Source organism: Homo sapiens, chromosome 6, assembly GCF_000001405.40.
Source record: "Homo sapiens chromosome 6, GRCh38.p14 Primary Assembly".
Classification (NCBI taxonomy): domain Eukaryota; kingdom Metazoa; phylum Chordata; class Mammalia; order Primates; family Hominidae; genus Homo; species Homo sapiens.
The window spans coordinates 25,222,247-25,238,870 of NC_000006.12; the positions used below are offsets into that span (position 1 = coordinate 25,222,247).

At 40.2% G+C, this 16,624-nt stretch overlaps 1 long non-coding RNA gene across 1 annotated transcript; it reads right to left on the reverse strand.

Annotated features, from left to right (window-relative positions):
- Window positions 1–7,988: 7,988 nt before the first annotated feature.
- Window positions 7,989–10,370, reverse strand: LOC124901283 (uncharacterized). Its single transcript, XR_007059516.1, has 2 exons — window positions 10,234–10,370; window positions 7,989–8,415 (listed from the first exon to the last, which is right to left on the reverse strand). It is a non-coding gene; the product is annotated as an uncharacterized LOC124901283 (long non-coding RNA).
- Between the last annotated feature and the right edge of the window lie 6,254 nt (window positions 10,371–16,624).

A 16,624-nucleotide genomic window follows, 5' to 3' on the forward strand; every position in this document is an offset into this window, starting at 1 on the left:
TAATCTCTAGTTTTAATCTTTTATCTTCCATTGGATGCAAGCAGGGCTGGACTTAGACAAAATGAGAAAGTGGAAAAGTTTGTTTTTAGAATCTTCTTATCTTAGACAAAATTAGGAAGTGGAAAAGTTTGTGTTTAGTATCTTATCTCTGTCTCCAATTTCTGGCATTCCCTTCTGCCCACTTTTCTGCCCAGTCTTTGTTCAGGAGCCATCACTCCATATGCTTGTGGCTGACCCACTGGGAATCCTTAACAGAGCCTGGCACTCCACCCACACTGCCCTAGGTATGCCTCCAGAGCCATGCACAGATATTCACCTACTTTCCCTCCCTTGGTATCAGCAAGACCTTGCTAATATTACAGAGCACATCTCTAGTAGTGTTCAGGGAAATATTCTGGCTTAATGAAGTCCCAGGCTGTAAATAACATTTGTAGGAACAGTTGCAACTTTGAAGAACCGCTATAAGGGCTAAGGAAGGACACTCTACATTGCATTCAAGGGTCTCTGTGTCTCCCCTTAGTGGGCAAGGAAGCTGCCATTTTTCCTCCTCTAGAGCAAGTCTTATCTTCTCATCCTTCTAGTGAGGCCACTGGGCCTCTTATTCGAGATTCTTTCTTTTCTCTTTTTCTTCTCTGTCATCCCAATTAGCTTTCAGAGTGTCTATGATAAAAAAGAAAAAGACAATCTACAATTCAAAAAATTAAAAATTATACTAGAGTTTATGCCTGTAAGTGATCTTTTGATAATAAAACATGTAGGATTTTAAAATTTTGATACTCAATTTTTACAAAAACAAAACTGAAATGTACACCACTGTTTCACAGAGGATATCTTATAAGAGAATTAGAATGGCTGAATCTGAACTTGGCTTCCATAGCTTCTCACATCCAGAAATTCCAAATAAATAAAGTAACTCAAACAACGGCAGTCTGACAACTCCTATCAGACCTGGAGGACACAGGGACCCATCTTCCATGTGTTAAAGGGTGAGGAAGAAAGTAAAATAGGAAAACAAAAAAAGTATGCTTTATCCAAGGGCCTATGTCTTCCCCAAATGACTTTACATTCAGAATCTCTTTGCCTAACTCTCCCCAATTTGAGAGGTATTTTTCTTCAAAATCCTGATCCTGCTTTCATTCCATTCCCTGTTTAGTATAAATTCCTGGCTAAACACACTTGGTCTCAGAGAACCATGTCAAAGGTTACTAAGGTCAAAAAAGCTTTTCTTATTTTCTGACAGTCCCTGAGGTCCTGAGAGAATGCATTCTTCTTTTGTTTGGCTGGTAAATAGGAAGTTCTGCATTTTACTTTCCCCAACAAGGAAGCAAATATTTTCTTATTGTCTTATTCTGTGGCTGTATTAAAGAAAAAAATCAGCATTTCCAGAGCTCTATGCTAACAGGCCACTGGGTGGCAGTCCTGAGCTGTAATGCAGAAGAGAAGAGTCAGGAAAAACCTGTAAACCAGAGCGGGAGATATAATAATGTTCAGGAGATAACAACGTCATCAAAGATCAACTACTTTCCACCAATAGAGCCTAATTAAATGAAAGGAATCATACCAGGAAAAAATGGAGGTAGTATCATACGTTTAAATTAAAACTGCCCAAGACGCTTAGATAAAATTGGCAGAAAAGCATCCCTCCTTCCACTTTCATTATCACCAAGGTAACATGGTCCAGAGTGGAGCTGAATGTCAACCCAGTGCTAATGGGCAGGCTTCTTCCTACTCAATTTTCCCTTTTTCACCAGGACTTCAGAATAAAGCACTAGAACTCACACTGTCCTGCTCTGCAAGCTCCAACCCCAGATTAATCCTGAAATCCCCCTTCTCTGCTTCTATATCTTAGTGATTTGGGGCTTCTAGAGAGAAGTACAACCGTGGGAACTGGTATCTTCACAAAGGTATACTTTCCGATTTCAGAAGAATACTCCATTCATCTTGTCAATACTTCTCCTTATCTAAAAACAGCATCTCTCCCCTCATCCCTTCTCCTTCCCTCACTCCTCTCTATAGCGAGAATCTCATACCTTCAGTTCTGTCCATCCCCTGTCAGCAAGTGATCTTGCCCCCACAGAGACTACTGAGCCCACAAACCCTCAAATCTTCACTCTTCCATCCCACCCCCATACACATCCTGCCCCCATACAGGTTTATCTTCATTTTCACTCATTCTTGCTTCCTGTCCCACCAATCACAAGAAATAGAACAGCTGCCCTCCTCTCCCCTCCAGGTGTCTCCCAGCATTTCACCACATGCATCAATTTCTGTGTCTACATAAACTGTTTGCCCCGCCCCCACCCCCGAATGCTAATATGACAAGAGGACATATTAGAGGAGAATCGAATTCTCTTAGCAAATGGCATGAAAATTCCTTTTGGAGATTTCTTAGAAAAATTCATGGATAAGCCCATTGAGGTTGAAGGCGAGACCTTGACTCTGGGTTGATCACTCAGTTCTAGACAAGAAAAGTAATTCCTTGCTCTAAAGGAGGAGGAAGTTGGGAAAAACGGAGGAGGAGCCAGCAGGATGGCAGAGGGCAGTGTGGTTGGGCGTATAACCCCTCTCCAGGAGCACCTCCAAACTACCTTAAAGTTCCTTGTTAAATTGTTAACTCAATAGATTACCATTAACATGAGTGTTTGTGTAGAAACTGGCGAGAAGGCTGAGATTCGCACTGTGGTGCCACAAGATGGATCTGAAACCACAGGTACAGATGTGGCAGGGGACACAAAGAGAAGCATGAGGGAGCAAGCCTCAGAAATTTAGGGAAATCATAAAAGGAATCTTGGACTGTGGCTTTGGACCAGGTTTACAAAGATGGACCAACATCTCACAGAGCCAGGGAGGCCCCAGCTGACATTGGCTTGCTCTAGCTTCTCCCATCCTAAACAAAAGCCTCTCTACCCTGAGCCCTTTTTCACTTTCTCCTTCTGTCATCATCCAACTCTCTCAGAAGCTTGGTCTGTACTTGTGGCAGCTTCAGCACCTCCCAATAATTTCTCAAACTTCTGCTGACTGTTCTCACCAAGGTCATCAATGATGTCCTCATGAGGAACATTCTCAGTCCTTGTCTCACAGAACAGTTCTTCTTCATTAGGCACCACTGATAACTTTCATCTTATCTCTCCTTGGGTCTCTGACCTTTCCAGTTGCCTTCACCATGGGCTGCTCCTCTTCTTTCTGCTGCTTAAATGTCAGTGTTAGGGATTGAGGAGGTGCATTTCCAACCAGCATCTGAAAGACTTATGATGTTCACCAAACTAGGGTTAACAAGCCTGTGAGTTGAATTTGACTACAATTGAGTCAAACTGAATGGTGCAATCAGAGTGTGAATGAAGGAAAATAAAGAAACCAAGGGAGGAAACATTATAAATGGCAGGGAAGGGAGGCCAAGAATGTTCTTGAGAATATTAAGAATATTCTGAGAATAAAAGAAACAAGCTGGGTATGGTGGCTCACACCAGCAATCCTAGCACTTTAGGGAGCTGAGGCAGAAGAATTGCTTGAGCCCAGGAGTTCAAGACCAGCCTGGGCAAAATAGCGAAATCTTGTCTCCACTAAAAATACAAGAAATTAGCTAGGCATGGTGGTGTGCATCTGTGGTCCCAGCAACCCAAAGGCTGAGGTGGGAGGATCACTTGAGCTTGGGAGGTCGGGGCTGCAGTGAGCCAAGATTGCACCACTGCACTCCAGCCTGGGCCACAGAGTGAGACTTTGTCTCAGGGGGCGGGGGAAGGTGGGAAAAAAGAACAGAGTAGATACAGAAGCCAAATTGCAATACAAAGAGAGAGGTTAACATTGTGAGAGAAGGTGCAGGTGTTCAGAGATAGAAGGAAGTAATGTTATAAAAATAAAACTATATTTGTGTAATTTAACATAAAATAGTTCCTTGACAGGAAAAAAATTATGGGAAGCACTGTGCTACATAAATTCAACTGAAAATGTGTTCATCCAACCATTAATCATAATCTGTCTGGGCCAATGAAATACAAATGATGTTCTTGTTAGCTGCAGTAGGCTTCAGAGTCAAAGGCATTCAGATTATGTTCCCACTACATTCTAACAGGAAAATCAATCCATTCACTAAATGGGCGTTAGCAATAAAATACACTAGAGCGTTCCAAAACACACAATTTACCTGGTTTATTGGGCCAGATTATCTTTCTCTGTAGACATATGATCCTTCTTTGAAATGCTTTGTCCTCATTCAGCTTTTATTCATGTGACTAAATGCTAGAGTTTCACTGTAATCCTACCTATTCCAACCCAGAATTCATGGTAAAATATTCCATCTTGGACTCTGTTCAAGAAAACGAATCCGAAGAACTGGTAGAAGAACTGAAATACAACATTGTTACACCCATTCTATAGCCCCCACGTTGTCCAATATTCTGTTGTTATAACTACATGTGGTTGTTTAAATATAAATTAATTAAATAAAATTAAAAATTTGATTTTCCCTTTTATACTAGTCACCACTCAAGTGCTCAGTTGCCACATGTGACTAGTGGCTACTTCATTGGACAATCAAAAAGTATTTCCATCATTGCAGAAAACTGTTAGATAGCACTGATAGACAGACAGACACATACATACATACATACACACACACACACACACACACACACACACACACACACACACGCTCTGTGGTCATTAGGCAAGGACCATCAGAATAGCATGAAAGTAAAATGTCTGTCAGTGCAGAAGCCAATATGCCAAACTTTAACCTCCATACCCTAGTTTTAATTTCTGTATCAGGCTGTCTTATTGTCTTATTAAACTAATCTGTATTAAGATGATTTTTTCCTCCCAGAGGTATGTTAGTCATAGGTCACTAGATTGAGTGCCTAAGGAAGGCTGTAGCATCTCCTTCTATATAAAATAATTTGGAAACTGCCCCTTTTGGAAATTGGTAAGTAGAGTTATGAATTCTGAAAACTTCTTACATTTATTTTGCTCAAATAGAAAGATTTATAGATTTAGCAAAACTCACAGTCTATGTGGACAGTGCTAGCTTATTTGTACTTACTAGATCCTTATATGTTAGGTCCCAATGGGTTATTAACTAGGTAAGTCACTTATCTTCCCTGAGACTCAGTTTCTTTGACTATAAAATGGGAATTATAACATCAATGTCACAGATTTGTTATAAAGAAAGATTAAATATGATGTTGTATAGGAAAGTGTAGCCTTCATGGAAGTGGGCAAGAAATGATTAAAGAGTAACCACAGTTGCAAGTCAGGTGGAGTGTTAAAGATTCTAATGACTTCTGCACTTCAATCTAGGAATGGCTTTTGCCACCAAAGAGCCAGAAGCTTGCAGAAAATTCCTCTTACCACAAAGAGTGCAGAGCAGAAATCCAATTCACAAGTAATCATTGGTGGAATGGATTTTGTGAGATATGATTCTGTGATCTTCAAAAGCTGCCAGTGAAGAGATATTTGTACACCTGTGTTCCTAGTAGCACTATTCACGATTGCCAAAAGGTGTAAACCACCCAAATGTCCATTGATGGAGGAATGAACAAAATATGGTATATACAATGGATTATTCAACCTTGAAAAGGAAAGAAATTCTGATACTTGCTGCAACATGGATGAACCTTGAAGCCATTATGCTAAGTTAAATAAGCCAGTCAAAGGGCAAACACTGTATGACTCCACTTATGTGAGCATCCTAAAGTAGTCAAATTCATAGAGATAGAAAGTAGAATGGTATTGCCAGTGCCAAGTAGAATGGTTGTGGGGATGAGAGAATGGGGAGTTGTTTGGTGGGCAGTTTCAGTTTTGTAAGATGAAAAGTATTCTGGAGATTGGTTGCACAATAATGTGAATGTACTTAACATTACACATTACACTTAGAAATGGTTAAGATTGTAAATATGTGTTTTTCACAATTTTTGAAAAGCTGCATAATTTATATTACTATAAAGGTGGCAGACTCCATTTTGGGGGAAGACTTCTTTTGCAGGTGGAGGGGACACTAATAGATTTTAATTGTGCATAACAGGCCCAGAATCCTGCTCTGATGATAATATAAAAACCTCCTCTCATTGTGGATAGAACACTGGTGTGCAATGTCATGTTGGAGCCTGAGGCAAAAGGATAAATATGTACCCCTGTATATATATATATATATATATATATATATATATACACACACACACACACACATATATATAGTAGCTATATATATATATACACATATATATAGTAGCTGTATATATATATAGTAGCTATATATATATATATACACACACACAATAGCAAGAAAGACAGTTACTTAGATATTATATGAGAAAAAGGAGAGCAAAATCTTGTGTGTATATATATATACACACACACATACACACAAAGTACCCTCCCCCATATTTTGAACCAAATAGAAAAAGTAAAAGTTCTGCCATTCAAAAATATGACTAAATATAAAGCATTATATTGTCCAATCTGTTCACACACCATCATCACCCCTTATCAACCCGCCTAGCTCTGTGGGCTCAGGAACCTTGAGCTAATCAACAACTATGCTTTATTGCACAAAAATGCAGAGTTGCAAAACAAACAGCCTGTTTTTATTTAAACTATTGCTATTTTATTATCGATTTTAGCATTAATTTTAATTTTTAAAATATTGCATTAACATATTATTGCTCTTAATTGTTAACTCTTTTGGTGTTCCGTTAAAACTTGTGGCCTCATGCATCATTGCCTTACTCTCATTCTGGCCCTGTGCCTAGAGATTATCGTGAGCTTAACTCCAATTCTCCTACGGCTATAGCTAAGAAATAATGATGGAGTTGTGGGCTTTATGATGGAGAGAGTCAAGGGAACTGTTTGTTCAAGTGGGAGGCCGACCCAGTGCTATGGTCTGAATGTCCCCTCAAAATTCTTACGTTGAAACCTAACTACCAGGGTGATGTATTAGGAGGTGGGGCTTTTGGGAGATGGTTAGGTCATTAGGGCAGAACTATCATGAGTGGAATCAGTATCCTTCTTACAAGAGATCCCAGAGAGTTGCCTTGTCCCTTCTCCCATTGGAGAACACAGCAAGATGATGGCTGTCTACAAACCAGGAAGCAGGCCCTCACTAGACACTGAATTCATCAGTGCCCTGATCTTGGACTTCCCAGCCTCCAGCACTGTGAGGAGTAAAAGTTGTTTACAAGCCACCTAGCTTATGGTATTTTTGGTACAGCAGCTGAAACAAACTAAGACAGCCAGTAACTTGGAGACACTGGTGGGAGTGGGAGAAGGTGGGTAGAAGGATGACCAGGGATCGTCCTATGAAAAGGCCATGACTGAAAGGTTTCAGGAGCAATGGGATCTGAGGACAACTCAGGCACAGACTTTCCTTTCTGCATTGCAGGTCTTTGACCTTATTTTCAAGTCTTCAGTAAAGTTTCTTAAATGCTACAGTGATTCTTGGGAGAATGAAGAGCAAAACCAGAAACCACAGAGTGACAGATTGGCCTGGAGAAAGCTACAATAGCAAGAAAGACAGTTACTTAGATATTATATGAGAAAAAGGAGAGCAAAATCTTATTATTCAAGCCACATGCATGAACTGCATACTTCCTTGCCACCAATTAAAATTGCAAGTCCTACAGGCCCCCAAACTCAGGCACAGATGCAAGAACTGGACTTGATTGTAAAACCACACCCTGTGGTCATTAGATAACTAAGTCATTAGATAACTATGTCTGGAATGAAGGAAGAAACAGGCCAAATAGACAGAAAAAGAAGTTACTGGGATTTATGAAATCAGATAAAATAATTGGTATCTGGAATTATATTCTAAATGAAAAAAACCACATGGGATTTGAAACGTAGAAACAGGGCAACTTCAGAAACACCAGACTGATGTGAATTGGAGCATATTTATAGTTCTTCAGTTTCCACAGGCCAGCACACTGAGTAACTGAAAGACTGGATGGCTTTACTAGAAATTGAGGCTTTCTATTAAATAAGAAACACAAGAAAAGTCAGTCAAAAATTAAGTTTTTAATGGCATTTAAATTGTATTTCTGAACTGAAGAAAATCTATATTAATCAAGATTAGACAATCTACACTAGACAAATTGTACCTATTGTACCTGAAAGAAGGTCATCACGGGCAGACTTCAGAAGGTGGAGTACACGTGGCATGACCTAAAATTCACTTACAGGAATTTCATAAGTTCAAAATACTTACTAAGTGGAAATTAAAGATTGCTATAAATATTGCTGGGGCTCTTAGACTATGAAGAATACATCACTTCTATATGTCCAGAAGAGGCACAGCAGAGACGCTGGGAGCAGTGGAGACGCTGAGTAGAACAATGTGAAGTGAAAAGCAGTATCTTCAAGAATGTGTGTGTCCACGCACTTGCTGTCACTCAGAACGGGGTCCCAGATTTGAGTCTCTGAATACTAAAGTGAAAAGTGGCAATTGATATTAGAAAACTCAAAAGGATGATTATTTTAGGACAGGCTCACCTACAGTATATAAAATGATAAATAGACAACATAGATCCTGGAAAACCAGCAAAAAGCCAGGAGCCAGGTCCCTGAAGGGAACAAGACCCAGAGCAGATGATTTGCCTACATTAAGATTTGGCGTGAAATGCTTTCCCTCTCTATTTATATTCCTTGCATAGGTACCGACTATGAGAATCAGACACTACAACTTGGCTGCACGTGAGAGAGAAAAATGGAGATTTATCACTGGAATGACACTGTCTATAAGTTGTGACATATACATTCATGCTTAAGTGTTTAGCAAATTTTACTTAGTTCTCACATTATATGTTTTCACTTACTGTCAATGAATGACAACAAAACAAGATGCATAACATTCTGAATTAAAGAGCCCCTCTGGAGAATGCTAAAAAGATACCCCCAGCTGACAGAAATCCAAATTCTAGTAGTTAATCTAGAATAAGCAGACTAATTAAACAGTGTATCTGACTTAAGTGCCATCTATTTGAATCAGAATCATCTGGGATGCTTGTTAGAAACACACATCTCCAGGACCTAACCCAGACCCACCAAATCTGGGTTTAGGCATCTGCCTGTCAGCAACTTCCCTGGGTGATTCTTAGACACACAAGTGTGGGTGGAGCTTATTTTTTATAGCAAATACTAATAAAAGAGGGAATTCTCACTAAAATAAGTCATTGAGATCTGAGATTTTTGCCCTTCTACAAGGGGTGGGGTAGCCTCCAACCTGGATCCTACCCCAGGGGCTCCATCAGCTGCACAATTGGTCTTTGAGGACCAGATGACATCTGCCTCCTTGAGCCAAGCCCAGGATTTTTCTGAAGAGGGAAGAAAGTGGGCTGCCACAAGCCCCTGTGGCATGGCCAGATGGAGGCCCCGAGACCCTCCATTCTTCAGATTTTAACCTGGCACCCCAAGGAAAACCACAGGCAAAGTCCTAGGGAAATTCCCCTTCCCACCCTGCTATCTTACAAGCAGCAAACTCCCTCTGAAATGCCACATACCCTTACAGGTGTTATAACTGGAATTTTGGGAGACAAAGAACTACTCCAAATGTTGGGAAACAGGCCTTCCTGTGGGGTTTGTTCTTTAGCATGGAAGCAACAGGAGCATCTAATAAACTGCCCTCAGGAAGAATTTTTCTATGCTCTTAAGAACCACTAGCTTACACCCCAAACATATGAAACTTCGAACAAACGTGTTGAATGTTTTTCTATTAAAGGAAATCGTTTAACTCTTTAAAAATAAATAATAATATGCCGGCCAGGCACGGTGGCTCACCCCTGTAATCCCAGCACTTTGGGAGGCTGAGGTGGGAGGACTGCTTGAGCCCTGGAGTTCAAGAGCAGCCTGGCCACCATGTGGAAATCCCATCTCTACTGAAAATACAAAAATTAGCCAGGCATGGTGGTATGCGTCTGTAGTGGTAGCCTGAGTAGCTGCCTCAGGAGGCTGAGGCAGGAAAATCGCTTGAACCCGGGAGGCAGAGGTTGCAGTGAGCCGAGATCGTGCCACTGCACTCCAGCCTGGGCGACAGAGCAAAACCGTGTCTCATAAATTAATACAATGCCAATGTCAATGTTTTAGCTTTGGCAAATATTCCATGATAATGTAAGATATTAACAATGAGGGAAACTGGGTGAGAGGTATAAGGGAACTCTCTGAACTCGCTCGCTTTGCAATTTTAAATCATTTCAGATCATTCCAAACTAAAACGCTTATTAAATATAATAAACAAATGAGAATGACCTGCTGGTGCCTGCAGGTCTCCCAGGCGGGTTTATTTCCGATCCCACCTCTTCTTCAGGCTGTGGCCTCTCCCGCAGAAGCTCAGCCTCCATGAGTTGGAGATTCTCTCGCCGCAGCATCCCTCAGGATGGAGTTTCGGCTTTCCTTCCCTCGGGGACTTTTTATACGCAGCCCGTGCGTAATCATTGGTGCACGTCCAGGCTGCTGCTTCTAGCCCCTGCCCCGCAGCTCTGTCTCCTGGGAAACCATTTCCATCTGGTTAAGACTCCAAGATTGAAATCATGTGGAGTTGATTTGCCTACATCTAAGATTTGGCTTGAAATGTATTTCCTCTCTATTTATATTCTTTGCGTATATGTCTACCATAAGAACCACACAATATAAAGCACTGTGGGGAGGAGGTGTTAAAGAAAGATCTTTGGGCTCGTCGACTTGAGTTGAAATACTTCATAAGAGCACAGTTTAATTTTTTTTGGAAAGTAGGTTTTTAAAAATTATTTTCCACCGTGCTTATTTTCAGAGGTAACAATTAAGAGGGATACATTTTTTTTTTTAATTTTGAGTGTTGGACCTTTTAAAAACTCCCTGTTAAAAGAATATGAAGGAAGTAGGGGGAAATGTTCTCTTTGTGAACGAATTCTAAATGGAGTGCATTGTGTGAAGCTAAAGGAAAACTTCATTTGAGTAATATTCTAATTGTATTCTTCCGTATCGTGCAGGAGAAGATGACAACCTGTATTTTACTGCTCAAAAAAGAAAATACAAGGCTCAACTTGTTTCTGATGCAGAACTCAGGAGCTCCTAAAAGAGCAAGTGGAATGAAATGTTTCCTTTTTGATTTTCTTCTCTTTTGAAACCATTCACCCATTGTTTATTTGGAAATAGCTTATGTGGCATGCAGAATCCATGAACACAAAAACTGAACATTTATTTATCCAACATATTACACATACTGTGATTGCTTCAAGCTGTGTGAGGCGTGGCCTGTGCCAATGCAAGATTCAATTAGAATTCTGAGATATGTTAAAATAGCTTTGGTATAAGGCAGTGGAACTTAATCAGGAGTGATTTTGTTCCCCCTTCTCCCCCATTTGGCAGTGTCTAAATGCAATTATCATTGTCACAACTGTGGGTACAGTGATGGAAATGGTGCTAATGGCATCTAGTGGGTAGAGACCACGGATGCTGCTAAACATCCCACAATGCACAGAGCAGCCCCCCGACAACGAAGAATTATCCTACATGAAATGTCAACAGCGCCAAGGTGAGAAACTCTGAGTGTTATTAGTGTGGTGCTCTCTGTGTGATACAAACCAGGTGCTCTGGCAGAGCAAAGAAAGAAAGATCACATCCACTCGGGATGATCAAAGATTTCAAGAATTCTTTAAGTGGGTTTTTCTGTGGTCCAGAATGCCTAATTTTTCTGAGTCTTAGAGGTCCTCTAGTGTCCCTAAATATTGTATTTCTGTATGTCAGTCACTACGTTGTCAGTGAAAAGCCTTGCTTGGCCCAGTAACTCGACATCTCTGTATTTCATTTTTTTCCACTGAAGAGTGAGATTTGATTCAGAGGCCCGAGGTCTCTCCTGGCTTTGAACAAGTGACAGTTCTCACTGTTTAAAAAAATTTTTTTTTAAATAGAGACAGGGGTTTCACCTTGTTGTATAGGCTGGCCTTGAACTCCTAGGCTCAAGTGATCCTCCCACCTACAGCCTCCCAAAGTGCTGGGATTATAAGCATAAGCTACCACACCTGGCTGAGAATTCTCATTTTTAACTTTCTACCTGGTGGCCCTATGTATGGCAGATGCACCTGACAGCAATAATTTAACTTAAGCATACTCTGTATGGCAGATGCACCTGACAGCATAATTTCACTTATGATATGAGGGTTGCCATGTGGAGGTTGTGTGGAAGGAGGTGGGGTTGGGGGAAGGAGTGTTAAGGAAAAATGCTATATAAACAGCACGCTTTTTTAAAGTGATGGTTGTTCTTCTGACCAGCCCACTGCCACTGGACTGCCCTGTAAGTTCCCAAATAAATTCTATGTTTCACCTGCTGGCTCCATGTCTCTTCTTCAGTCTTGTGAACCTGGTGCCATCCCTATTGAAGTTAATAAGGGTCATATAATCCATAAGGCAGGATTCTCAGTCATTTGTGGGTAATGCTCTCCTTTGAAAATCTATCACCCCCTAACATGCATGTAACACAACATTTTGCTTATAGTTTCAGGAGATCTATAGGCCCCTGAAGCCCATTTCTGGCCCTTCTAAGAGAACGTGAACTCCAGATTCAACATTTCTGTTCCAAATGTTCCTGAGCAACAAAATTTTCTAGGTCTACCTCATCCCTTGGAACCTGATCCAACTGTGTTCCCAAAACTACCAGACTCTCTCTTCCATGCCACATTCATCTGTTTCTTGTTTTTCTATCATGAAATTTTGTATTTTGCTACTGCTTTTTTACCAAAATTCCTTTAGATAATCTCACGGCTTTGCCGAAATCCAATTCACAATGCTCTGTCTAACCCACGAGGATGGACTATAACTACTTCCTCCCAATCCTAGACAATGTTTCTGATGTGTTCCTTTAAGCTCCGGGAGCTGCCAGTGAATGTGTACCTAAGGCCCTAGGGAAAGAATCCCTGCTTTAAAGAGCTTAAGAAAGACCATGAGGGAAGTCTTCTCTTAACCCTCAGTGACATCAAGATGCACAGAAAATGCTGACACTACCCAGAAAAGAGTTGCCAAGATCCCCTTTGCTCCTGTGAACAGACTCTGAAGACCTTAGAGCTATACAGTTCAATAAGGTAGCCACTAGCCACACATGGCTCCCCAGCACTTAAAATGTGACTAGTTGGAAGTGAGATGCGCTCTAAATATAAAATATCACCAGATTTTGAATACGTTGTATAACAAAGGAATATAAATATTTCACTAACAATTTTCACATTGATTATGTGTGGGAATGATGATACTTTAGATACAACTGGATTAAATGAAATATACTATTAAATTTAACTATTTCTTTTGCTTTTTTTGGCTACTAGGAAATTTCATATGACCAACCAGTAACGCTGCAGGCACACATAAATATGCTTTTACTGTTAGCCACAGTGGGCCCCCCCAACAGGAGTTCATTCTCAATGGTGGAATACGTGTGCTGAGACTATGTTGATATCAAAATTTTACCTACCAGTTTTATCATCCATTGATATTTCTTAGCTCAATTATTACTTTGGTGGTTGCCAAATGGTGATTTCCTAATTCCTACATTCCTTCTATTTATTAGTTGGAATCCTACTGCAAGGGAAAGAAACCTTTTCTTCTCCCCATGTATTTATTTATATTAGTATGGACTTGTAGGTTACTAGTTTATGCAATGGGATATAATCTGTTACTGTCATTATTTATTTTGAAGCTAAATTGTCCCAGATTTCACCAATGAAAACCTCATTAAACCTAACTCACTCCCATGTCCTTTTGACTTGATCCCATCATTCTTTGCTCACTTTCTCACTTTCTGGCACAAGATGTTCCAGGATCACTTTCCCTGTGACTGTCTTGAGATCAGCCATTTCTCTAGAAAGCCCTGGTTCCTTTTAATGGAGTGTGATATTTAAATACCTATATCTGGGTACCTGGTGTGCTCACGGCTATTGGAGTGTTGCAGATACTCCTAGGCCCTCTCAGTGGACAGAGCTGAGGAATATATGTATGTATCTACATATAGATTCATCCCTCAGTATCTGTGGGGCCTTGGTTCCAGGACCCCTCCCCAGATACCAAAATCCATGGATGCTCAAGATTCTTATATAAAATGGCATAGTGTCTGCATATAACCTACACACATCCTCCTGTATACCCTAGATTACTTATAATACCTAATATGGTGTGATATGATTTGGTTCTGTGTCCCCATCAAATTTAATGTCGAATTGTAATCCCCAGCGTTGGAGGTGGGGCCTCGTGAGAGGTGAACGTGATCATAGGGGTGGTCCTTCGTGAATGGCTTAGCACAATCCCCTCAGTGCTGTTCTCATGATAGGTACTAAGTGAGTTACTATGAGATCTGTTTGTTTAAAGTGTATAGACTGCACCTCCCCACTGTCTCTTCCTCCTACTCTGGCCAGGTGAAGTATTTGCTCTCCCTTTGCCCTCCACCATGATCATAAGTTTCCTGAGGCCTCCCCAAAAGCTGATGTCACCATACCTGTACGGAATCATGGGCCTATGGAACCGTGAGCCAGTTAGCCTCTTTTCTTTATAAATTACCCAGTCTCAGGTATTTCCTCATAGCAGTGTGAGAACAAACTAGTAAACAGTGTAAATGCTTTGTAAATAGTTGTTAGTTAAACTGTACTGTTTTGGGAATAATGACAAAGAAAAGAGTCTGTATGTATTCAGTACAGAGGCAGCCATCCATTTTTTAAAAATATCTTTAATCCACAGATGCAGAACCCATGAGTGTAGAGGGCTGGACTGTATACATGAATACATATTGACATCTTTATTTCTATATCTATATATCCAAATATATTTTGAAAATCATGAGTTTACACTGATACCTCTAGTTTGAATCCGATAACACAGGTTCATTCTAGTTTACTCCCTTTTCATATTTATACCTTTCTTCTCTGACAGTGAGAAATCAGGCTTCCTTTATCCTCAGTATATTCACTTACTGGCTAATTTCCCCTCCCCATTGCCTATAAACTACTCATCTCCCATTGGTGCTGCCACCACAATCCCTCAATCTCATATGCATATGGGTGACCTCCTCACTCCACTTGGTCTCTGACATCCTGTGTGAGCTCCCTGTCACTGCCCTCCCCCCCATATGGGTGCTCTTCTCACCCCTCTTTGGCTTAAAAACCCAATTCTGGGTTGCTACTGATACACCCAAACCCAGACACAGATGCCCTCCTCACTCCACTGGGGCTGCAATCCCTCAGACTGGGCTGCTGCCACTCCTGCCCAAGACCTACCTCACTCTGCCCTTCTTAATGACTTTGAACTGAACTAATCAAGGAGGAAGGAAGGAAGGCACGAATCAACTAAAATATCTTTGAGACAATTTGGAACATAAGTAAATCTATTTTATAGCTCTTTAGAACAGCTAAAATGTTCTTCATGATCTCACCTGGTCTACTTATGGTGGAGTCAGGTGAGTGCGCTGGAATAGTGTGCTCTTAATGTACAAGCATATGCTTTCAATTTACAAGAGGAAGCCTTCACTGAAAATTCCACTGTCAAGCAGCACTGATACATGGCCTTGTAAAAAGAAAGCTCTGTTTATTGGAGTCAACACAATTATTGTATCCAGGGTAAAGACTTTTTTTAAATGAAATCTCCTAAAATGATCTTTGAGTTCGAGTCATAGTAAGGAATTGATGAGTCGTGCCAAGGAGGCCTATAATGTTATAGAAGACAAGCTGGGTAGAAAGTATTTCTCTCTCAGAATGAATTGATACCTGTAGCAACACCACATCTAATAGAAAAACAATGTTAAAGCATCTCAAAGCACTACTGAAAAATGAAAAACATTACTATAGTGAAAAAATATTGAAAGAATAATTAGAAATACAAGCACCAGCACATATAACTACTTCTAAATAATGTATATAACAATTTTTGGTAATGGTGGCCAGTCTACTTATGTGTAGACTGAGAAAGAAATATAAATATATGTATCTATGTACATCCTTCAAAATATATAGAAACTGTGACTATTTTAACTATTTGTGTCCTAAAACTAAAAGGTACAGCATTAAAAATATAGAATTTTTTTCTATCAAAGTGACATATAATCACTATAATAAATATGATACAGGAGAAAGAGAAAAATGCAATCATGTATTGCATTTTTTAATTAAATTAAACTTCTGCCACCCAGGTTTAACTCTATCTAATATTTTGGTATATTTCCTTTCAATCATATTGTCTGTTTTCAGAAATGGGATCATGCTATACATACTGCTTATGTTTTGAATTTTTTCCCAATGACACATCATAAACATTTTCCCATCACCTTGGATATTTGATAACATAATTTTAATGGCTATGTAGTATTTTGTTGTATAGACACACCATAATTTATTTAACCAATTTTCTATTGTCGGGTATTTAAGTGGTTTCTAATTTTGGACATTACAAATGATGTGGGGGGGGGGTTGGGTTATTTTATTTTATTTTTTTCTGAGACAGGGTCTTGCTCCATCACTCAGGCCTGAGTGCAGTGGTGTGATCTAGGCTCACTGCAACCTCCACCTCCCAGGCTCAAGCAATCTCCAAGTAGCTGGGACTACAGGCACATGCCACCATTCCCAGATACATTTTTCAAAATATTTTTAGTAGAGATAGGATTTCACCACGTGCCTAGGCTGGTCTCAAA